Source organism: Homo sapiens, chromosome 11, assembly GCF_000001405.40.
Source record: "Homo sapiens chromosome 11, GRCh38.p14 Primary Assembly".
Classification (NCBI taxonomy): Eukaryota; Metazoa; Chordata; class Mammalia; order Primates; family Hominidae; genus Homo; species Homo sapiens.
The window spans coordinates 105,232,777-105,259,577 of NC_000011.10; the positions used below are offsets into that span (position 1 = coordinate 105,232,777).

Sequence of the window (26,801 nt, forward strand, 5' to 3'; positions counted from 1 at the left end):
TGCTATTCACTTCAAGGAACAAATTCTTATGATATCAGCAACTATTGAATGTGAGGCATTATTATAAGGCCAATTTTTAAATAAAGTCTGTTTATATAAAAAAGTCACATTCATTGCATTTTAATTGGCAAATATAGCTAAATTTTAATCTAGATTCTTTGTTTTTTAAATACAATTAAGTACATACAGTAACTAAAACAAACATTCTAGCTAAGGTCAAGTTGAGCCCATTACTAGCTAATTCCTGTAATGTGTCTATGCTTGCAAGCCGAAATTAGCATTCCAAAAATTAAAGGAGATAATATTTGAGCCAGCATTTACAGGTCACACAAAATTTACCAGAAACAGGAAAAAGATACATTACAAAGAATTTTCCTCAATTATAGGCTGCTATAAAATTGTATTATTTGGGGAAATCACCTATTTCCTTTCTTCTCATCATGTCTTCCATATGCCATCACTGTAGAATCACTTTATTTAAAAGAACTATATTTTTAGTGAAATATCTTCAAGGCTTCACCACATAAAGTGCATTAGAAATAAATGAAGAAACTTCAGAGGTTATGTAATCTTGAAATACTAGAAATTTGGGGAATATATCACCAGAGTTTGCTTAGAGAAACGGAGCACAATGAGCTTTATGGAAATCAGTGGTTTGTCACACACACACACACACACACACACACACAACAAGCTCTTAGGACATATCTCCCTGAAAATGCACATATATATACATGCATATTAGTGAATGTGCATTTTCAGGGGCAGGTGTCCTAAGAGCTTTCTTAAAGTTATATGAGACATTTGAGGTGCAAAGAGAAGAGAAACCACTTTTTCTAAATTGACACTTTTCATAAATATAAAACATGTCATTTGTCTAATTTTGCATAACTGGTGACAGAAACAGTTTTTTATTTAATATTTAATTTTTATTGTGTGCATATAAAGAGAGAAGAACTATGGTTTTAAAAAAACAGAGTGCCATTTTTGCCTTCAAAAAGTAAGTAAAATAAGTAAACTAGTAGGAACACTTACAAGTATACAGTTGCAATAATAAAAATTTATAAATATATTAATATAATCTGTGTGTATAATAAACGTATATAAAGAGAGGTAATATTTCATATTTTCCAATTGCCAGGAACTGTTCTAAGTAACTTTAAATGTATCATATTGCTTACAACTTAAGGAGATCCATGCTATGATTTCTCACATTTTGCTGCTGAGAATGCTGAGGCACAAAATATTTAAGATACTTGCCCAAAGTCACATAGTTAATAAGTAGCTGCATTTGAATTTGAACTCAATTCCCACAGTTTGTGTTTTTAATCAATCAATTATATTATAATACTTTTAATGATATGGGTACAAAATGTAATAAGAATATCAGAGAAAATGTTCTAAATCTACCCATGGGATTCTGTCTGCTTCACAGAAGAGGAATTTGAGCTGAGACTTGAGGAATGAGTAAAGATTTGTTCCATTTTTACAATGACATTTGAAACAATGAGAAAAATGTGTGCAAAGGATGTAGTAAGAAAGAAGTACATTGATATATATATACAAACACACACACACACGTCTATATGAGCAAAAATTTCAGAGAAGAAAGTTTAAGCCAGAAGATTAGAAGTTAAATAAGAATACTCCTTACTACCTATCCATCCATCATTTATTTAGACTATCTAAAGAAACTTTAAATTGTACAAATAGGTATTCCATATATCATTTTATTTGGCATTTATACTAATGTAGCAAAATTGGACACTGATAAAAATTTGGACTCTGGAGTCAAACACACATGGTTTGAATCCTGACTCTGTGATGTCATACACAAGAAACATTAGGCATATTTTGAAATAATATATATTAATTCTTCAGTTTTTCTCAGAGATTTTTAGTATGTGACATTGAACAAACATATGAATGTCTTTAGAACTCAGTTTTCTTATATGTAAAATGAGAATTATAAAACATCATTTCTTAAATAAAACGTGATGCTATTATCAAAATATATAGCATGGGAATGTCATTAATTTGTGTTTTTTAATATTCTAGGTAGACAGAATAGCAAGTATAAGACCTTGAACTGGGAATCTGGGGTATTTTAGGAACAGAAATAAGGTGCTAATATCAACAGACACTAGTGAAGAAGGGGAAGAATTCTATATAAGATAGAGACATAGGCAGTATCCTGAGCATACAGAGCATTGTAGACATAAATAGTGTTTGGGATTTTAGTATAGAGATTTTGTTCTAAACATTGAAAGATTCCACCAATAGCAGACCACCCATTCTTCACAAGTGGAAGTGGACTTTCTCAAAGTTGGATCACATGCTAGTTTATGCTACAAATCAAGTCTCAATCAATTTAAAATATTGAAATTATACAAAGTCTATTCTCCAACTATAATGAAATGAAATCACAAATCAATAACCAAAAGACAGTTGGGTGATTCCAAGATATGTGGAAATTAACAACACAATCCTTAAAAGACTTCGAGTCAAATAAGAAATAAAAAGGTACATTAGAAAATATTTTGACCTCAACAAATTAGGCATTGAAAGATCATACCTCAAAATAATAAGAATCATCTAGGACAAACCAATAACCAACATCATACTGAATGGGCAAAAGCCAAAACCATTTTCTTGAGAACTGGAACAACATGAGGATGTCCACACTTACCTATCCTATTTAACATAGTACTGGATGTCCTAGCCAAAACAATCAGGTGAGAGAAAGAAATAAAGACATCTCTAACTAGGAAAGGAAGATGTCAAATTTCCTCTCTTCATGATGATATTATTCTATACCTAAAAAACCCTAAAGACTGCCAAAAGACTCCTAGAATTGATAAACGACTTCAGTAAATTTGCAGGATAAAAATCAACATACAGAAATCACTAGCATTTCTATATATCAATAACATTCAAGTTGAAAGCCAAATAATATCACAATCCCATTTACAATAGCCACAAAAAATAATGAAGTACCTAGAAATACATCTAACCAAGGAGGTGAATGATCTCTGCAAGGAAAACTACAAAACACTAGGGAAATGAAGCAGAAATTACACAAATGAATGAAAAAACATCCCATGCTCATGGATTGGAATAATTAATGCAGTTAAAATGGCCATACTGTCCAAAGAAATCTACAGATTCAATGTTATTCCTATAAATACCAATATCATTTTGCAGAGACTAGAAAAAAAACTCTTCTGAAATTTATATGGAACCAAAGAGATCTTAAGTAGGCAAAACAATCCTAAGCAAAAACAACAAATCCAGAGTCAGCACATTACCTGTGTTCAAACTATGCTATAAAGCTACAATAACCAAAATACCACGATACTGGTTCAAAAAACAAAAACATGGACCAGTGGAATAGAATACAGAACACAGAAAGAAAGCCACACACCTACAGCCATTTTGTCTTCAACAAGGTCAACAAAATGATAAAAAAGGAAAAGATTCCCTGTGCAATAAATGGTGCTGGGATAACTGGCTAGCCATATGTAGAAGAATGAAACTGGATCACTATCATTTACTATATACAAAAATTAACTCAAGATGAACTGAAGATTTAAATGTAAGACCTTAAACTATAAAAGTCCTAGAAGAAAAGATAGGAAATACCATTTTGGACATTGGCTGTGGTAAATAATTTGTGACTAAGCCCCCAAAAGCAATTGCAACAAAAACAAAAATTGACAAGTAGAACCTAATTAACTAAAGAGCTTATACACAGCAAAAGAAACTATCCACACAGCAAACAGAAAACCCACAGAATGGGAGGAAATATTTGCAAACTATACACGCAACAAAGGTCTAATATCCAACATGTATAAGGAAGTTAAACAATTCAACAAAAAACAACCCCATTAAAAAGATATAGTGATATAAACAGACATTTTCTCAAAAGAAGATTTACAAGCAGCCAACGAGCATATGAAAAAAATGCTCAATACCAATAATCATGAGAAAAATGCAAAAGAAAACCACAGTGAGATATCAACTTACATCACTCCCATGGCTACTATTAAAAAGTCAAGGAAAAAATAAAAGAGATGCTGACAAGGCTGCAGAGAAAAGGGAATGCTTATACACAGTTAGTGGGAATGTAAATTAGTTCAGCCCCTGTGGAAAGCAGTTGAGAGATTTCTCAAACAACTTAAAACAGAGCTATCATTCAGACTAGCAATCCCTCTACTGGGTATATACACAAAGGAAAATAAATCATTCTACCGAAAAGACCTATGCACTTGTATGTTTATCACAGCACTCTTCACAATAACAAAGACATGGAATCAACCTAGGGGATCATAAACAGTATAGTGGATAAAGAATGTGGCACATCAACAAGGAACTCCATGCAGCCATAAAAAAAATAATGAAATTATGTCTTTTGCAGTGACATGAATGCAGCTGGAGGCCATCTCCCTAAGCAAATTAATGTAAAAACAGAAAATTGAACATTGCATGTTCTCATATATAAGTGAGAGTTAATCATTCGATACATATGGACATGAAGATGGGAACAATAAACACTGGGAACTACTGGAGAGGGTAGGTGGGAAAGGGGCAAGGATTGACGGGGAAAGGGGCAAACTACAGTAATGTAGGTTTTTTTTCCTGGTTTCAAATCCCAATTTTCAAACTTCATATCAGAACTTAAAAGAAAAAGAATCAATCTCATGATCAAATATAAGACAGATGTGTCTCCCTTAAAAGGCTAGCTCCAAGCTAAAAATGGCCCCAAAATATTGAGAACAATGTTCCTTCACAGAGTATTTTCCCTTCCACATTTCCAAGGCTCAGAGTATTTTACTTTCCACATTTCCAAGGCTCCTCCCGACTCCTTCTCTATCTGGCATCTGTTATGTTCCATCATCCATTGGGCAGAAACAACACTACTATCCGTATACAGGGCATTTGTCTCAAGTTATTCCATCATGTCCACAAAAGTAGGGCAGGAGATTACTGGGAAGAAAAGCAGTTGATTTTTTTCTGCTTTATTAATGTTTTTACCTTTTTTTTTTTTAATTTTTAAAGTATACTTTAAGTTCTGAGATACACGTGCAGAACGGGCAGGTTTGTTACATAGGTATACACGTGCCATAGTGGTTTGCTGCACCCATCAACCCGTCATCTACATTAGGTATTTCTCCTAATGCTATCCCTCCCCTAGCCCCCCAACCCCCAACAGGCCCTGGTATGTGATGTTCTCCTCCCTGTGTCCATGTGTTCTCATTGTTCAACTCCCACTTATGAGTGAGAACATGTGGTGTTTTAGTTTTTTCAACAAATGATTCTAGGACAACTAGATATCAACATGCAAAAGAGTGAATTTAGACTCATCTCACATAATACAAAAAATTAAATCAAAATAGATAAAAGACTTAACTATAAGAACTAAAACTGTAAAACTTTTTGAAGAAAAATACAGAAATAAATATTACTGACTTCGAATTTACCAACAAAAGAAAAAATAGATTAATTGGACGTTTTCAAAATCAAGAAACCCATTTTTCTTTTCAATAACACTGTTAAGAAGCTAAAAAAAAATCAGAGAATGGGAGAAAACATTTGCAAATCATACATTTGATATGTATCTATCATCCAGAATATAAAAAGAATCCTTATAATTCAACAGTAAAAGATGAATAATTAAAAATGGGCTTAGGATTAAGATATTATTTCAATGTAGATAAACAAATGGTCAATAGTACATAAAAAGATGCTCAACACTATTCATTATTAGAAAACTACAAATCAAAACCACAATGAAATACTGCTTCCTATAATTCAAAATGACTATAATAAAAATGGAAAATAACATGTGTTGGTGAAAATGTGGAGAAATTAAAATCCTTATACTTTGCTCATTGGAACGTAACATGGTACAGCCATTTGGAAAAACATTTTGACAATTTCACAAAAAGTTAAACATAGAGTGACCATATGATTGAACAATTCCACAGTTAGATATATAAAACATATATTTCCACAAAATATGTACACAAATGTCATTTTAACTTTATTCATGTTAGCCAAAAAGTGGAAACAAACCAAAAGTCCATCAACTGATGAATGGATAAACAAAATGGGTATATTTCTGCAATGAACTGATTTATCCATAAAAAGGAGTGACGTAGTGACACATGCTAAAACATGGATGTATCTTGAAAACTGTATGCTGACTGAAAGAAGGCAAACACAAAAAGGCACACGTTGTATGATTCCAATTATATGAAATGTCCATTATAGGCAAATTCATAAAGACAAAAAGTAGATTAGTAATTTCCAGAACTTGCGGGGAGGGGATAATGGGAAATGACTGCCAGTAGTTACGTGGTTTGTTTGTTTGTTTGTTTGTTTTAGATGATGAAAAAATCCTGGAATCTGATAGTGGTGAGGGTTGTATAACCGTGAATGTACTAATAATCTTTATGTATTTTAAGAGGATGAATGTTTTCACGCTTGAAGTATATCTCAACAAAAAACAACAATGAGAATGGTGAAAACAGACATCTTTACTCTGGGCTCCTCTATCTTTAAACAGACTTGTCAACTCCATGCATTTCTCCAGGCCCCGCAACTTTCTATGGAGCACCCACAGCGATTGCAGAATGGCCAGTGCCCTGCTACTGCTCTTGGTGGCCCTAATTAGATCAACCCACCTAGACTCCAGGTTTCTCCCAGGAACTTATAGGAAAAAGGTACCATGAAGGCTTTAATTCACATAAGAAGTCACATAAGCAACAGTGATTCCAAGAGAACAATGGCCAGAAGCATATTGTTGTATTTGAAAGGTGCCGGATGATTACTGGGCATTTGCACGTTGAAGCACCATCATAGCTACTAGGCACTCTTTCTCCCATCCTGGAGTTCAAGATCAAGAAGATATTGGGAAAGAAGGCCTTCCCAGGAAACCAACAATGAACTGGTGGGAGATGTGGAGAACTGGCACAAGCCAGTGTGGGACAATCAGCCCTCAGTAGTCCCAAGAGATATCAAGGGAACTGCTTGAGAGGAGAACTTTTTGATATAACTAGCACAAGAATCCACCAGCCATAACTGAAGCTGGTTTAAGAGTCAGAACAAAGTCCTAAAATTCCCCAGACAGGCATTAACCCTTTAGTCACTGGATTCCAGGAAGTAGGAAAAATAATTAGGTATACAACCAGAGAGGCTGGGACAGAAGGTGAAAGATAAATGAAGTCTTGCTTCAAGCAATGGGTTTTTTAAACTAGTCTAGATGTAGTAAAATATTTTAACAATCAGGATGATCATACCTTTACCAACAGAATAATCTTACCTTTTCATATGCACTGAATTATCAGTGCTAATTAAAATACAACCCGATATTGAATTCACCTCATTATGTCATAAGGTAATTTAAAGAATGAATCAAGAACATGTCTTAGGTTCTAGTTTGAGCAAGTAGTTGCTACTAACTAAGATAACGTTAACTAAAGAGAAACAAGATGAGAAGGGGTAATGAAGAGCTTTCTGTGGGGCATGTGAAATTCAGCAGCTAATAATCATAAAAGCACATGTTACAAATGAGAATGATTATAAATCCTGAACTCCTTGGGAAAATTTGGATCTAGAAATATTGATTTTGGATGGCATTTGAAAATCCAGGACTCCATGAAATCATATAGGGAGAGTTGGTAGTTAGAGAAAAGGGGTCTAGGACCAAGCCCTAGAACACTCTAATATTCAAAAAAGAGGAGAAGGATCCTGCAGAATTTGAAGAAGCACAGCCCATGAGACCTCCCTCACTTCTAATATCACTTGAATGTTTAGGAGTTTCCCCAAACCACCATTATACTTGATAATTCTCTAGAACTACTCATAGAATTCACTGAAAGTTACCTCCCATCAATATGTGACAATAAGTATGAAGTTTTACCAACCACAGAAACTCACCTGAGCCTCGGTATCCAAAATTTTTACTGAGGGGATCCATGGTTGACTACAAATATGGGTGAACTTCAGTCTCCAGCCTTTCTAGAGACAGAGAAGATACTTCTGGGTCTCAAAGCCTCCATTATAAATAACACTTTTAAACTATCCAGTGGCCAAGGCCACCTGGTAAATAAAGACATTTTTATCAAGGCAGGATATTCCAAGGGCCTACAGACCACCTTAAGGTAATGTAGGGCAAAGGCCAGGTATGTCTCTGTATAAAGTTAAGTCTTTACTACATAGAGCAAATAACCAGTTTGAGGTGGTAAAGGAAGAAAGGAAAAAGAAAACGTTACAACAGCAGGGGATTCCAATAACTAAGACAGAATATTTCAAGAAAGAGTGAGTATTCAGTTGTTTCAAATTCTAAGTTTTAATAAAGATAAAAAACAGGGATGTGGCCAGTGGCTAATAAAGCAACACTATGACTATGGCAACCTTGAAAAAGATGTTTTAGTGGAGTGGTAAGACTTGGCAATGTGGACAAAAATGAAGATAATGAGTATAGAATGTAGAGTTTTCTCTAAGGGAGACAAGACATTGAGTAGGAGCTGAAAGGTGAAATGAGGTTATGGGAGAAATACTTTAAAGAAAAATAATTCCTGAATGTGTCTATACATGACCATAAAATATCAAGTAGATCAGGATTTGTTGAAATGCAGAAGAAAAGAATGCATGTTAAGGGTGAGTCCAGGAGATAGAAAAAAATGAAGCCAAGAACTGAAGGAAGAGGGACTGCACTATGATAGGGCAGGAACGCTTCATTCCTCTTAACAGAAGTGCAGGCTTTGGTGAAGAGAAGATGAGGTAGCGTTTTTGTTGTTGTTGTTGTTGTTTTGTTTGTTTCCATTAACTTCCATTTTATCAATGAAGTGTAAGATTAGGTTTTCAGGCCAGAATGAATTGGGATACCATGCTACTGGTTTGACGAAATAAAACTAGGTATAAAACAGTTGTTTCCAAAAGGGAAGAGAGTAAACACACTAAAGAAATAGTAGAATTGTTAGGAAGTATTGAGTTCCCAATAATAATGTATTGTGTATTTCAAAGTAACCAAGAGAATAAAATTCAAATATCTTGCCACAAAAAAAAATGACCAGAAAGGTAAGATATGTTAATTAGCTTGATTTGTTTATTCTATACTGCATGTATAGATATCAAGATAAAACATCACATTGTATGCAATAAATGTATATAATTATGATTCATCAATTAAAATAACAAAAAAAGTATTTTAAAAAATAACTCAAGTGGATACCATAAGCAAGTTTGTGAGATAATATACCTACAGCCATTCCCTGTGACTCCGATGGATGTAGAAAAAAGAAAGGGATTTGGAGGTATTGACAAGCAAATGGTTGTGATGGTGGACCACTGGGAATATGTACTGTGTAGATAGGGATGGAAGAGAAGGGAGCTGGGGACACATCTGTATTTGGTTAAGAGTGGACTGGAGGCCACAATGAGACAGTTGTTTTAGTCACTGCTACTTGATGTCTCTGTTAAAAACAGATACTACACTTTCTATAGATGCTTGTACATTGATAAAATGATTTGGTTTACCTAGATGTCAGTACAATACATCATGTTTTCTCATACCTGGTCTCTCAGTTTGTGTCTTTTTTGCTTGACACATACATGCTCAGCCAATATTCCCAAAGCCCAGCCATTTTGCTAAATAGTTGGGGGTCAAGGTGGCTTCCAATTTATGCTACACTTGAACAAAACTAACTCTCCTATAAAATACGTCCTACTCTGGAAAGGTTCTGTGTGTACCCTTAATTTTCTTTCCTAGCCCTTCCAAGACTATCCCAATTTCCTCAACACTTATTTGACCTTTAAAATAAAAGTTTCAGGTGATTGATCCAATATGGTTGTTTCACTTTTAATATCCCCTTTCTTCATGTGCCTAGTGAAATGCCTCTCTTTGGTTGGCGGTTCCTATATGCATGTTCCTGAAGGAGTAAATCCACTGATGTGAGATAATACTAGAATGACTAAGAAAACAAGGAGAGCTTTTGGGAATTGAAAGAGGTTCCGACTTGGTAATTTCCCACTGTAGAGGTCAGCAAGCATAGCAGTTACCATTGGTACATGGCCTGAGATTAAGTGCATAGTATATAAAGGAAAGTGAGATAGGCTGACAGCACTCAGGAACGGACCCCAGGTACTTTGAGCTAGGGAAAAGCATGAAGACAAATGGGCCATCTATGTCTTCTTGAAGATTATCAGAACCACGTTCTACCAGAATTACTAATGTTCTTGCTAGGTCAAATAGCAAATCACTCTTAGAATAATGACTAAAACTTATTTCGTAATTGGTAGAGTCTCTTTAAGATTGTTCTGCTAGATTTTCTTTGGTAGAAAGAAAAGTCATTTTAATATAAATATAGATCAAACTTGGCAAATTAAAGATCAGACTCTGTAAACACAGAACATAAGGAAAAATATGCTACTACTTTATTCATTGTAAATTTTTATTCATTTGTTCATTCATTCATTCATTAGAGATAGAGTCTCACTCTGTCTCCCAGACTGGAGTGCAGTTGCAGGATCATGGCTCAATGTAATCTCCAACTCCAGGGCTCAAGCAATCCTCCCACCTCAATCTCCCGAAGTAGCTGGGACTACAGGCATGAGCCACAGCACCAGGCTAATTTTCGTATTTTTTGTACAGATGCGATCTCACTACATTGTCCAGGCTGGTCTCCAAGTCCTGGCCTCAAGCAAACCTCTTGCTTTGGCCTCCCAAAGTGCTGGGATTTCAGGCATGAGCCACCACACCTGGCCTATTTTTAATTTTGTAAATCACAAAAATCAATTGGTGACTAGGAAGTCAATTAATGGTTTAGAAAACTACAGCCTGGTGGAAACAGCAACAATTAATGTTTATTTGTAAGATCGTATTTTATAGGCTAAATTACAGTTGAATTCCAACTAGATATATATCCTCTCTCACATTTGAAAGTAATTGGCAGCACTGTACAAAGTCCTAACAATGAATTCAAAGGAGAAAGTTATTTTTCGTAACATGTACATAACATGTAAAAGAGCAAAATATCATTGGCTTTTCTACTGATGTGCTTCTTCTGCATATGGAAAATTAAATTATTTTGTATGGTATATCTGACTCTATATATGTGTGTATAGAATCAGATATTAAAAATATACTTTCCAGGTAATATAATATACACAATTTATTGTGATGCTGTTTAAATAACCAAATGCTCTCTTGTTAGGAGATGTCTAAAAGACTGGAAATAATTGAGCTGACTTTTCTAAACCAGAATAGCTAAGCTAGAATTGATTATATTCATGCTCTGAAAATTCTGATTTGCTAGAATCCATTTACTGTAACAAATTGAAGAAACCTAGTTTTTAGGTCATATATTGTTCATGACAAAATTGCATAGGAAATTTATAGATTTGTTCTGTCTAATACATTATGGACACATAATGTACCTTTTTGTGGACAGAAATGTCAATCATGGTACTTACGATAATAGAGTTAGTTGTATTTTTGTAGTTGTATATATTCTGACAGCATTAAAATATCCTGAAAATAAATTCAGTAGCTTCAGCATTAGGCTAGATATACCCTTCAGCTGTCATAGGGACTCAGAGAGAGAGGGAAAAAGGCAAAATATATTAATGTTTTCACTCTTTCTTCACAGTAAAAACTGTCAATATTATTTTTACTTTATGTACAGAGTTTTGAAACATTAAATGTAAAAGTAAGTTAAATTTAATAGATTGTATGAAAATATTTTTACGTCATCCCTAGGACAAGTAAACAAAGGCTGCAGATTGATGTAAAAATAATTCCCTTGTTCTGACTAATACACTCACGCACGCATGCATTTCCTTCCAGTCACCACAGCTAGCTGACCTTAGGAAACTCAAGTAATGACAAACTAAAATTAGTAACCACATGTCCTTTGCCTAAAGCAAGCCACAGCTGAAGGATGAAAAACTAGAGACAGAGAGAAACTCACTGTAACTTGAAATTGTGTCTAGTACCTCAGTTGTATATTCATTCTAAGCATTAGGTTTTGCTAATGTATAATCTTATCAACAGAATCATAAGGCTGAAATAAATATTGAGAGATCAAAAAAGTCTATATCCATTTCTACAGGTGGGACAGTTTAGAAATATTATAGACAGTTATAATGATAGGAAACTGCTGAATATTGCCTGAGCTCCTTGAATGCAAATTTTCTTCTGTGCAAAGCTATAAGTGACTCAGTAATCACTACAGAAAACTTCAAAATCTCATGAAAAATATGAACCATGTGAGAAATGGTTGTATTCCTGATAAATATTTTAGGCTTTGTCCCTGTATAGCCAGCTAAATGGGAAGCTCCAAAGTGGATTTTCTCTGACTCAAACCAGAAAACAGAATCCAGTAGAACTCAACTAAAAGCCAAGTTTCAGGTCTATTACTGTTTCATTGGTTTATTTTGTCAGCATCCACTTTTCTTTAGTTTATCTTTTACACAAAGCAATTTTAAAATTTATCTTTTTAACAGGAAAAGATGGTGGCCACATACCACTTAATTTGTTGTTTCATTTTGTTTTGTCCTTGCCTTATATTTTGTCATTTAAAAAATAATTCACCTGTTTTGCTTTCATACCAGTTTCTAATGATACCATTAATAATAATAGGAGTATTAATAGAGATGATATTTATCACCTTCACTTTGTGTGTCATGCTCTCTGCTAAAGTGTTTATACCATTGGGTTCAAACTTTGAACCTGAAAATCACCTGGGGAGCTTTGAAAAATCCCAAAGCCTGAGTTACACTTCATACCAATGAAACAGAATGCACAGGGGTTGGAAGCCAGACATCAGTATTTCTTGGAAACTACTTTTTTATCCCACAGAAACCTTTGAAATAGTGTAATTATGGTGGCTGTCTGTGGTAGTTAAGCATACCTTGTCTGGTAAACTGGCATTGGTTCCAAACTCCATTGTTTATGAGGTCTGTCACGTTCGATACTACTTTATTTCACTGTACCTCTTTTTTTCATTTGTAAAATGAGAAAAATAATTAGTCGCTACCTTACCGTGTTGGTAGGAGGTTTACTTAATGCAGATAAACTTCTAAGATGACCATAGTTATTACTCTACACCCATTCAGTAAGTGAAAACAATAAATCACAGAAAGTTGAGCAACTTGCTAAAATGTGCACAAATAAATGTTCCACAAAGCCTGAATGAATGCAGTCCAACCATGTATAGTTTAGATAGCAATTATTTCTTCCAAATGTACAGTTCCCACTGCCTTGATCTGTTTAAAATAGTGTAATCCAAGAGGTTAGCTGAAGAGTTTGGTTAAAACACCCAAGGGCATGTAGTTGTATAGATCTAGCTTCGGTGCCTTCTACCAGCTGCCTGTGGAGTTACCTACTTGCTTCTTGCTTCTTGTAAAAACAACTCAACCACATAGATTTAAATTACAAGCATTCAGGAAATATAATTCATTTTGTTAACTAGACTTTAATCCTGCTTATCCTCTGTGAAGAATGGATGCTAATTATAAAGTCTGTGGCATTCTTATCTTATATTCACTGTGGCATATCAGTGTCTTTAGTTTTCAAATAGATAAGGAAAATTAGCTTCCTTGAATATAAGACTGCAAGGAAGGTGTCGTCTATTTCTAAGAGTGCAGAATCACTGGAATAGATTTTTTAAAATTCTAATTGCTGGTCTTTACACTTTTTTTTTCATCTTTCAGGGACAGTGGCAGAAATTTCTCTGATAAAAGTCTAAGTCCTTTGACCTCGTAAAAATTTGCAATATAATAGAAAGGTAGACAAATAAATGGAAGTAGGAGGCTTTAAAGTAAAACCGATCCGACATGGGATTTAATCCCATGTTTAATCCCATTTTCAGAATTTCCTAGCCATGTGACCTTGTACAAGATTCTTAATTTCTCAAAGAAGGTTTCATTTGGTATACAATGGAGATAATAAAATCTAACGCAGATATTTGTTTGTCTTAGGGATTTAATAATATGGTATATATAGTATTTTACTTAGCCCAGCACTAGAACATAATAAGACATCAAGAATTGGTTGCCTTATTTATTATGCCATAATTTAGCATGACAAATAGGTAAATAGAGTAAATACTCAGGGTGCTAAGGAAGAACATGGGTGGAACCCTTAAAACAGATGGGGATTGAGGAAGGACAGCTTCATGAAGACATGGCGGTCATGGATTCAGAGAGTCTGATTTAAAAGAATTATATGTTGTATATTTAAAGCCAGCTTGCTGAAGTATGACTTTAATTATGAATACATGTACGATTTCAACTTCTGTTTATTTTCCTGGTATTGAACAGTTGTTGTCAAATCATCTATAAAACGCTTGACCCACTGTGACCTCATATCTCCCTTTATAACCACAGGGAATGAAGAAACAAATAAAATGAACACTATTATGAAACAAATATATATGATACGTATAAATCATACTTAAAGTTATTTGAGAAATTCCTCCTACGAGTTACACTTGGAGTCATTTAGTGCATCATATTTGACTTTTCCGAAGTTAAGTTTCATATATATGAAAATTCTCCCAGTACAGACTCTCTAAATCAAAGTTATTTCACTTTACACCTAGAACGATAAACAAAATAACAGACCTTGCTTAAACTCTTTGAGGGCAGTTAAAGTGATGTACTTTAAAGAAAACTTCTCAGTAAAGTTTTACATTTCCTGTATAAAGGTCATAGCCCTTTATTGTTTTACCCATGAAGCCCATTACAATTTCATTTTTGTACTTATTTATTTATAGTTAAATTGTCAACTGTCATTCTGTAATTATCATTTCTCAAGTCACTTTTCTTGCATTCCCACAGGGTTTTAGTACTGTGAGCTCTTGAAAATAATATCTTAATACATGTATACAATGTATAATCAAATTAGTATAATTAGCATATTCATCATCACAAACATTTATTATTTCTTTGTGGTGAGAACATTCAAAATACTCTTCTAGCTATTTTGTGGTATACTATATATTATGGATACCTTTGGTCATTGCAATTTATACATATGTAAAATTATTATGTGTCAATCAGAAATAAACAAACAAAACAAAACAAAAAAAAGAAAACCTCTCAATCTATAGCCCTTTCGAATTTTCATAACACACTTGTTCATCAAACTGGTTTTACAATCGAAATATTACTGTCAACATTAGCTCAATTTGAGACTTCCAGTAGTATTTAAATATAACCGTAATATTTAAATATAAGTTTAACTACTTCTAGTAGTATTTAAATTAAATATAATGTGGAGATAAAAATGTCATTTAAAAAACTCATTCAGTGAGAAGTGTCTATAGAAACGGCTCTAAAATTATAAACTACCATGTCTATATTTTACAACTATTTTCTGACTTTTTTTTCAATTTATTTGGAAGGTAGAAAATGCTGGATTATTTAAGAAGTCTGAGTCATTATTCTTCTGCATCATATAAACATTCATATTAAGTAACACCAAGGAATTAATGAATGCCTTCCCCTCTACAAAGAGAATGGAAGTCCACTTTCGGGGATAGCTATCATCATAAGTAATCCCATTTCAGATGTCAACTCAATTAACAGCTTCATATTCTATCATTTTCTGTCGTCTCTTAGAGAGTAAGAAATTATGTCGTTATAAAATCAAAATTTGACTTCACAAGAGGAAAGCTTTTTTTTTTTTTCTGTGAGGGTACAGAAGCCGTTAATTTCTAGGATTAGTGAAATCTATACAAGGCTTTTTTCAGCAAAATTAGAACCAGGAACAGGACAGAGCTGCAATGGGAAACCTGGAAGATACTGCTGTCATCTTTTGGCACTCAAAACACTATAAACAAAGAAAGAGAATTAAAGGCAATTTCCAAGAGGGCAGGCTGCTGTCTCTCTAGTTTATTATTCTATTCCTGGAACACAAAACAGTGTCTAGCACATAGTAAGTGCACAACAAATATTTGCTAGGACAAGATAAATAATTCTACTTAATGCAAAATGAGAACTATACTCTAATTTTACAAATAATGTCAGTTGTGATTTTTGATGGAATAAACACTAAATGTATACTTAGGAGTTTGACACTCTTTTTAATGACGCGTTTTGCCATGTAGACTGTGCCTACTTCTCCTAATGCATCTTGTATGATTCTCCTCAGGCTCAATCGACTCTAAGCAAACTCATTTTCTTTCTGGCCATCAAAAACCTAAACTCTTCCCCACCTCAAGTTCTTCACACGTAGTGTTCCCTCTACTTTGAAGGCTTTTCCCCAGCTCTTCACATGGCTGGCCCTTTCTCACCCTTTGTTCTTAACTCCAGTTTACCTACTCAAAAACACCTTCCCCTACTGAGTATGTCAAGTGCCACCCAATGACCCCTGACTTCCAACACACCTATCATATCACCTTGACTGTTTGCTTTGTAATCTTTTTCACAATCCGACACGATATTGTTCAATTTATTTATTTAATCATTTTGTTTGTCACCCTCCATTTTAGAAGTTAGCCTCTCTGACAGCAAGAAATATTTATCTTATTTATCATGGTCTCTTCAGCACCAGAAACCCTATTAAGCATTTCTACTAATTTAATGTTAATATTCATACTCATTTATTTTTATATTTAATACATACCTTTAATTTTTAAACTGAACTCACATAATTCTTTTTCACTTTTCTCTTTAAAGTTTACACGGGAAAAGCTTAACTCAGTGAATCACTAATCACCTGGTGGTAATAAACATAATGAGAAAAAAAAATGGTTGTTTTGTGTGGGTGTGATCTTGTGAATCCAAGCTTCTAAGTACCGTAGTCAGTGTTACACTGCTGTAAATGCCATCAGCTGTTTGATTAGATTTCTAACTATTCAATACAAACATAAGAATAAAAAATTTAAAAAATTTGGGGAAATGATTAAGAAGTCTTCAAATACACATATTTAGAATCCTATAGAAAAAGAAATCTGGGGTATTTATTTTTATTAAAATGCCTAGTATCATAGAAATTGAACTGAACTCAACTAAAATTACAAGCAGTCATAGCCTCTTACACAAGAAATCTGCCATTTAGTTATTAGGTAGCTTAGAGAAGTTTCAAAGAAAAATAGTTTACAGTGGCCGGGCACGGTGGCTCACGCCTGTAATCCCAGCACTTCTGGAGGCCGAGGCGGGTGGATCAAAAGGTCAGGAGATCGAGATCATCCTGGCTAACACGGTGAAACCCCGTCTCTACTAAAAATACAAAAAAATTAGCCGGGCGTGGTGGCGGGCCCCTGTAGTCCCAGCTACTCCGGAGGCTGAGGCAGGAGAACAGCGTGAACCCGGGAGGCGGAGCAGGCAGTGAGCCGAGATAGCGCCACTGCGCTCTAGCCTGGGCGACAGAGCGAGACTCCGTCTAAAAAAAAAAAAAAAAGAGAAAAATAGTTTACAGCTTCCATTTGTTCTATTCATTAGAAGCTTGAATCAATATCTGTAGTGGCTTTTACACTGTTGAACAGAATATCTGCTAATTCAGTATAAAATTACTAGATGAGGTAAAGTCAACCATACTTCTTCACTATGATATAGGGATTAAGAATATTTTAGTCAGATGCCAGATAACTTATTGTCTCTCATTTGATTATAAAACACACTTTGGTTTTAAAGACACAGTTTCCTCGTTCTTTTTTGCTTAGTTCAACTATACCAGCATTTGTGGAATACACATCTATTGAGACATACACATCTATTGAGTCTTCTTATAGTCTACATTATCAGAGGTGGTTGAGGAGTAATTAGACTGAAAACAAAGATTTCTAAAGATATTTGTAGAATGTAAAAATGGGTATAATTAATAATAAACATTTAAAAAATATTTTTTTTCTTTTTACAGTTATTTTATGCAAATTATCTCAATTTACTTTTAAAAAAAAAAAACCCTGTTCAGTAGAGCAGTTACTAGTACTACTTCATAAGTACTGAATTTAAAAGAATTATTTTGGACACTTGAGAACGCTAATAGGTAAGTCTAAGACTTCTGGTCTACCTCTCTTATTGGTACTCCCTGCCTGAAGGAGGCTCTGGAAGGAACTCACTAATAGTTTCACAGAGTTCAGTCACCTTTGGAAGGCTAAGCAGCAGCAAGATGATCATTCAAAAATTAAAGGAGTCTGGACACAGTGTAGTATTTAATTTAAAATCTAGATCAGAGCTAGTTAATCTGTTCATAGGTAGTAGAATATTTAGTTTTAGTTTTAGTTTTTTTTTTTTGACGAAATGTCACTCTGCCACCAGGTTTGAGTGCAGCGGCACGATCTCAGCTCACTGCAACCTCAGCTCCCAGGTTGAAGCAATTCTCCTGCCTCAGCCTCCCAAGTAGCTGGGATTACAGCTGCCCACCACCATGCCCAGCTAATTTTTGTATTTTTAGTAGAGACGAGGTTTCACCATGTTGGCCAGGATGGTCTCAATCTCTTGACCTCGTGATCTGCCTGCCTTGGCCTTCCAAAGTGATGGGATTACAGGTGTGAGCTACCACATCTGGCCAAATATTTAGCTTCTTGACACTTCATCACAAGTAAATTAAAATAAAGAATTATGTGTTGTGAAGGAATATATATGTGTGTGTTTATATACAATGTTTGCTGTATATATGAGTTTATGTATGTACATATACATATAGAGAGATGTATATGTAGTATATATCTATATCTATCATCTATCTATCAACATATATATATAGTAAAACATCTATATATGTGTGAACACATTTTCTGAACCTGACTAAGACCATTTTTACTCAGTAACTGTACTGGTTTATATAAATAAAAATAATAATATGCCAACAAAATGTCAAGTTATTTATCAAACATAATAAAGCAAAGAAAAATAATATAATACACCTGCTGTGTCTTTTTAAGTTTTCTCTCTTGTGAAAAGATAGCTGAAGTTTCATTGTGAATTAATGCGAAAATAATGTATTCAGGAATTGGCAGGGAGAATGTTGGCTGACAGAGGGGTATAGGTTATAAGGTCTTTCCCAATCTTTCTTTACTTATCAGAAAATGTCAGTGTTTCCCCTGTGGGAGGCCTCCCAGAACACAGACAAGTGTTCCCAGAGAATCTTATCCCTGGGTAGTAGTAACACTTTTTCTAGTAAATTTTTTTTAAGCAATACTCTAACAGCATGATTCCTTCCAAAAACATAGCCTTGGGGCTGGAAAAAGTGGAGCGTTTGCAACTGTTCAATACCTCAGATTTCCTATGTAGCCTGGTCTGCAAATAAAACTGCATGTTTTCCCTTGATCTCAGGGCCCTCAAATTTTAGCATGCACCAAAATGACCTGGGAAACATATTAAAATTACAGATTCCTAGGTCCCATACCTGATATTTTTTATCCTGCCATCCTGCCAGTAACACCATGATGTATGGATTATTATATCTCTTTTGATAAGGAAATTGATATTCGTAGAAATGTCCCAAAACAGTAAGCAGAAGATCTGGGGTGGACGCAAACTGTGCCTTCAATTCACTCAATAATTGCTGTCAAAGAAAACTACAAATATAAATGAATTTTATTTAACTCAGATTTCATTTTAATCTGTTACTCTGCACCCTAATTCCTACTTCAATTTGTACTTCTCCCACCTTGTTTATTTGGCAATTGTTACTTTTATTTTATACATTTCATTTATTTTTACTCCACAAAGACTGTTCCATCTATCACTTCCAGACCCATTGAAATCCCCATCCTCCTTTTATTTAACATTTACCCATATTGAGCACACAAACTGTAATCCCATGGGAGAACATACCAAGACAGTAAACGAATTAGCTGCTGATGCTAGAAGTTCATTGGGGAAGTTGTTTTGTAGTCTGTAATTCCTTCAAAGCATTGAGCGTAATATCAAATGTGTGTGTATTTGTTAGTTCCGATCTACAACCTAGGAGTGGTCAGTGCACATAATTGAGAATACCTATTTCAGGGGTTGTTAGCTGCCTCCATACTCCAGAGGCATGCCTTGGATCTGTAGCTATGTTTTTCTTAGATCAGCAATGCATGGTTTATTAACTAGTACAGTTGATGTTGGAAACGTTTTTTCTTGATGAAATATTGGAATTCAAGCTATGAGAAGTAGTTAAAATGAATATTGTAGAGAAAATTCAATTGTTCTTGAGTAAATAGGCACCAGGAGACAGAAACTCCAATATCAGAGTGGCACTTGAAAGTTGATTCATAAAGAGTTCTGTGCCTGGCCGTTAACCCAATTGATTCTTTTGTTCTGAAATCCTCTATATTGTTACTACAACTTACCTTTAGGACTTTGTTGATTTTCCTATGGTCAACTTTTCATAAAAGGTATTATTAAAGTACTAAAAACGACAAAGAGCTGAGACTTCTTTAAAATTACAAAGCAGATTACATGACTCTCTTTGTGCCTACTGAGTAATAATATTTTCTGTGTATATATAATGTACATACACTATATGTATATAAACTTGCTTCATTACAACCTTTAAATGAGGTGGTAGGCAGGAGATATAGAGCCTTTACAGAGGTTACAGATATTTACTAAAATAAAATATAAGCCAACAAAAGACTACTAATCATCATGTATAGCAAAATTGGCATGCATTACTTCACGAAATAATAGATGTGTTGGTTTGAAAAAAAATCAATTTTTAAATGCTCTTAATAGAAGATATGACCAGATTGCAGCACACTGGACAAGAAAAGCTGTAATAACCATATTTTCTAGTTTCTATATTTAGTGCTTTGATATCCTGGGGCCTTTCTGACCCTGAAAAGACTGCCCGTTCCAGGGTTAGCTAAGTGCTAGATATGGCAAAAGAGTTGCTTACAGGCGCACTTCTCATATGCAAACCAATCAATTCAGAGCCTATATCTCCAACCACTTTCTTTATCACACTTATAGTATGCTTACACTATGGCCCACCCTCCACCTGCCTTAATCACCCCCAGGCCAGAAATCAGACCACTAGGAACAGTTCCTATGTCCCAGAGCCCACTGAAATTATTCTAACTAACCAATCCTAAACCTGCTTACCCTACCTTACCCCTTCCTTCCCATAGAAAATACAATAAAGGCTCTAGCACACTTTCCCCTCACTTGCTTCGCCTCTTGACCAACTCTGGTTCTTCCCCATGTGACCCTGCATGACATCTTGTACCTGTTTCTAGGGATCTGTGAGTATGAAAACTTCTTCCTTCATGACAGTCGCTCCTGTGTCTGTGTGTCTTATCATACCTGACTAACACAAATCTCAGGCACCCTTACCACAAAAGAAGTCAGAATATCACTATTTCAAATAGCAAGGAGAAAACAAAGCGAGCTAGAAAGAAAAGGGAATCTCAGTACCATAGGAAAGAATAGGCCTTATGTTGTGACAGTGTTGAAGGGGTTTTGACTCCAAGAGGGTCATGTGATGAGAAGGGGAGGCTGCTAAAATTGACTTGAAGATGAGTTTTCATAGCTGAGACCACACAGTTTTAACTAAGATTTTTAATTGCGGTTGTCTTAATGGTAGTTGGCAGGGGGGCGGGGTGGAGGTATAATTTTAAGATCTATTTTATGGAATGTGTCTATTCTCAAGCAACCCTCAACTTGCTACTTTTTTCTCATAGTCCTTTAATTCTTCAGTAAAGTTCCATGAGTAGTAACTATTGAGATTTTCCATGATCCATAAAATTGAAGATTCAAGTCAAGTTTATAAAAATCTCTGCCCTCAGGGAATTATCATGATGCCCAGTTTAGAGGAATAATGTTAATCATGTATTTCCTCCCTTTTTTTCCTTCAGGAGTGCACCTAGTATATAAAACAATGCCAACCTGTAAATCAACATAAGCAAAGCATATAGAATATACAAGGTTAGAAAAATCTTACTCATTTCCAGTTAACTGAAAAAAAAACTTTCTTTTTACCTTTGTGTTAAAATATTTTTTGAACCCCATAATACCCACTATCAAGTATTATGTACTAAATATAATTTAATATATATTAGAAAACTTTGTAATTTAATTTGTATTGGAAAGCTGATAATAAAAAAATCCAAAATTCATCAACTAAATGTCAATACAATAGCTATAGATTTAAATGTTATGAATCTCTACTGTAAAGAAGATTAGTCTAACATTTTAATGAAAACAGAATGTACAATAATTTTTTTAAGATATGCTGATAAGGCCAGGCCTGGTGGCTCACGCCTGTAATCCCAGCACTTTGGGAGGCTGAGGTGCGCAGATCACGAGGTCAAGAGATCGAGACCATCCTGGCCAAAATGGTGAAACCCCGTCTCTACTAAAAACACAAAAAAATTAGCTGGGTGTGGTTGCATGCACCTGTAATCTCAGCTACTCAGGGGGCTGAGGCAGGAGAATTACTTGAACCTGGGAGGTGGAGGTTGCAGTGAGCCGAGATCATGTCACTGCACTCCACCCTGGCGATAGAACGAGTCTCTACCCAAAAAAAAAAAAAAAAGGCTAATGAGGCTCATTCATTGACATTTGTTCTTAAAAAAGAAATAACTGTTTCCTAAGAGCCTCTGTGGTCAAAATAATAACAGTAATTGACTATGCATCACTTGCTCATTTATGAACAATATTAACTGCACTGAAACTATGTAAAGAAGAGAAGGTAACTTGGCATTTTCAAGTAAAGTGTTAAGCAAATAGTACAAATTTGGAGAAGGGCTATTTCAATGTAAATTGCTTATAAAAAGTTTATTTATTCAAATTAAGGCTTTTATCGATGTCCCCTAACAAGCTGTTAATTCACTCATTGGCAAACATTTACTGAATGCCTACTTTATGCTAAAAATTATGGAATAAAGACAAATATGACAAGATTTCTGCCCTCCAGATGTTCATAGTCTAGAATGATGATAGATATGTAAATAAAAAGAGTTACACTATTACATGACAAGTGTGATTATAGAGTTATAGCTGGAATACAGGACAAGTTGAAATACAAGAAGTACCAATAATTGTCTAGGGGAAATGGAGACATTATATGAGCACTAGGTAGAAAGGAATTTGGCAACTGCAAAGGAAAGAGGATCAGATAGAGAAAAAGGAATGGAATGGTGAAGATACAGAGTGTAAAGAGCAGTGTCTTGTGAGCACTGCCATTCATCCCACGGGCAGAAGCACAAATATGACATTTTGCCTGTGTGATTGCTATGCCCATGAAATTCACATGCTATGCAAACAACATAATGAATTCAGGCAAACAACCCCTGAAGTTTGACTAATATCATTTCAAAAAAAATGATCATTGGATCATGAAGAAAAAAATCCTATTACATACATATGACAATTTTGTTAATGAAATTTAAAAATTATGTATTAGTGTAATTATATCCACTCCAAGGATGAAGGCTTCTTAAGTTTAGATATAAGCTTGTAAATAACCCACGATATAATTAAAGGATCAAAAATGAAAGATAAAGGAAAATGACAACTTACTCTGTGTTGTCTCTAGACAATTGATGCATGGTGCAATCTACCCAGCATCTTCATTAGTGAGCTAAAAGAGGGTGTAAGTAAAACCACACTAATGATATTCACAGATGATAACAGATTGGAAACTGTCTTTCTGACACCACTGTTGACTGTGAAGTCACAACAGGGAGACAAAATAGCTTAGAAATATTGGTAGACAATTAAAGTGGGAGCAAACATTGAGATTCAGGTAAGAAAAGGAGCAATTGAACAATCTGGAGAGGAAGAATAAGATACACAGAAGATAGCAACGCCAAGTTTTAGTAATACACAAAAACAGGAAACCATTACAAAGTACTTACAATACTTCCCAATATATACAAACACTCATAAATACATGTGTAGGGGTATATATGTGTGTGTGTGTGTGTGTGTGTGTGTGTGTGTGCACCTCAGTCTGGAGAAGTACATCAAGGAAGTTATGGCACTATGGACACTGGCACAAATGGAAGGTGACCAAAGGAGGTAGCTGCCTATGACATGAAGGATAAGAAATACAACATCTAATTCCCTGAAGAATGTGGAGACTTGGGAAATAAAGAACTCATTTAACCGCTCTACAATCAATACAATAAAATGAGAGATGAGCAGACACTTTTGGAGAAAGGTCTCAACAGAAGCACATTTTAAAGGAAAACATGGTAAATATCTGTTTACACATTTAACCTGTACCTAGATCTTTAGAGTATACAAAGTTGAACAAAATGCTGGTTTGAGAGTACTGTCTTCAAATAACGTAAAAGCTAATTTGATGGGTAATATTTTAGAAATATTAAATGTAAAGGGAAAATGAGATAGCAGAAGTGTAGACCAAATGAGCGAAAGGTAGCATGTAGGTGGGGACTAAGGAAATCCTACATGTCAAACGTGTTTACATGAGCACAAGGGTGTTGGAAGGATTTTACAGGCAGATTTGGAAACATGGAGGCCATTGCTGCTGTTAGAAGTGCTTGATTTTTAGTATTTGTTTTGTGATCCTGGGGTAACCTAAAGGAAGGTAAAGAAAGACTGAATAAAATTGATATATTTCAGTCCTTGGGAACACCATATAAGAAACATACAATACAATGCCTTATGTTTCATATGTAACCAAATGTATACATCCACAGGAAATATTTTTCTTCAGTTAACAATTCATTATCTTTTCCCAATTATAGTCTCTTTCCAAAACAGAATAATAATCCATATAGTTAAATCAGATAAACGTTTTTTTCCATCAAACTTGAATTCTTGAGTAAGAAAAATCTGTGTCAATCTTATGAAATTATTTGAATTTTATGATCATCTGTTCATAACATGAATGCAGGCTATATTAGAGACCTAATGCTTAACTTCTTGTCCCATAACCAGAATCAAAAAATCTGAGATGAGCATACCAAGAGAAAAATGAAGCAATCATGGGCAAATGTGGTACAGGCTGACACAGAGTTACTTTGACGCAGGCTAACAGTGCTGAATCCTGGGGCAGCTGGAAATCCAAGTGCTTTTATCAGCTCCTATTCTTTTTGGGCAGCCCAGAATATGACTTCAGGTCTATCTAGAGCCACCCTAGAAAGTATTTCAAGAAAATTTAAAAAAAAAAAGAAAGAATTCATGGATATACGTACCACACTGGGGAGAAAGAGTAACTCAGTTAATAGGTGTGATGGTTACGTGTCAACTTGATGGGATAGAAGGATGCAAAGTATTGTTCCTGGGTGCATCTGTGAGGATGCTGCCAAAGGAGATTAGCATGTGAGTCAGTGGATGGACTGAGAGGCGCAGATTCTCACCTTCAATCTGGGTGGACACCATCTAATCAGCTGCCAGCGTGGCTAGAATAAAGCAGGCAGAAGAACGTGGACGGATTTGACTTGCTGAGTCTTCCGGTCTTCATCTTTCTCCCGTGCCAGATGCTTCCTACCCTTGAATATCAGACTCCAAGTTCTTCAGCTTTTGGACTCTTAGACTTAAAATAGTGGTTTGCCAGCGCTCTCGGGCCTTCAGCCCCAGACTGAAAGCTGCACTGTCGGGTTCCCTACTTTTGAGATTCTGAAACTCGGACTGGTTTCCCTGCTCCTCAGCTTGCAGACGACCTATTGTGGTACTTCACCTTGTGATAGTGTGAGTTAATACTCCTTAATAAGTTTCCCTTCATATATACATCTATCCTATTAGTTCTGTCCCTTTAGAGGACCCTGATTAATACAGTAGGTTATATAAAGTGGATTAGCAGGAAGATAAACGAAGGGTGATTGCAGCCATTTGGTAGGTGGCATTGAAAGTCAGAGTAAGAACTTTTTTTTTTTTTTAATTTGAGACAGAGTCTCGCTCTGTCGCCCAGGCTGGAGTGCAGTGGCGCAATCTCGGCTCACTGCAAGCTCCACCTCCCGGGTTCACGCCATTCTCCTGCCTCAGCCTCCCGAGTAGCTGGGACTACAGGCGCCCGCCACCACGCCTGGCTAATTTTTTTGTACTTTTAGTAGAGACGGGATTTCACCATGTTAGCCAAGATGGTCTCGATCTCCTGACCTCGTGATCCGCCAGCCTCAGCCTCCCAAAGTGCTGGGATTACAGGCGTGAACCACCGCGCAAGAACTTAATTTTATGGGCCAAGGAAAGAATTGAACATGTCTGAGAAATAAAGTTATAGAGGCAGAAAAAGACATTAGGAAGTTTTATCTGGCAGGAGTGTGTGGGATGGATTTTTGAGGGAAAGGCAAGAGAAAAGATCGATTTGGCACTTGTGTCAAGTAGGCTGAAATTTCCCTAAGACTGAGCCATGAAACACTAGTGAGCTGAGAGTCAGTCACTACTGCCATCGGGGTGGAACTAATCCAGGTTTTCCAGAGAACTGAATTATATGAAAATTAGGGAGTCTTCTTTAATAAATAGAACACAAAACCCTGAATGAAAAATTATGCAAGTAAAGGGGCACCGAAATTAAGCTTCTGCCTCTGATGGCAATATTGTATAATCAGAACCTTTGTAAACTATATTTTTTTATCAATAGAAAGTTTTTTCAGTGCTTGAGATTTGCTGCCCCAAATTCTCATCTTTTAGTCTTCCAGATACAGCCAGTTAAATAAACAGAGGGTAATGACTTTAAGTCACAGTTGTTCCTCCTTACCCAAGGAAAATATTTTCTGAGACTCCCAGTGGATGACTGAAATTGCAGATAGTACAAATTTCTATATAAACTATGTTTTTTTATATACATATGTATAAATGTCAAATTTATAAATGTACCAAATTTATAAATTAGGTACAGTAAGAGACTAACAATAACCTAAAATAAAACAATGATAGCAATACACTGT

At 35.2% G+C, this 26,801-nt stretch overlaps 1 long non-coding RNA gene across 1 annotated transcript in view; it reads right to left on the bottom strand.

The window, feature by feature from the left end:
• The window catches only part of LOC105369468 (uncharacterized), a 383,452-nt gene that overhangs the window by 74,861 nt on the left and 281,790 nt on the right, over positions 1-26,801 (bottom strand). The gene's annotated exons all lie outside the window — the stretch shown is intronic.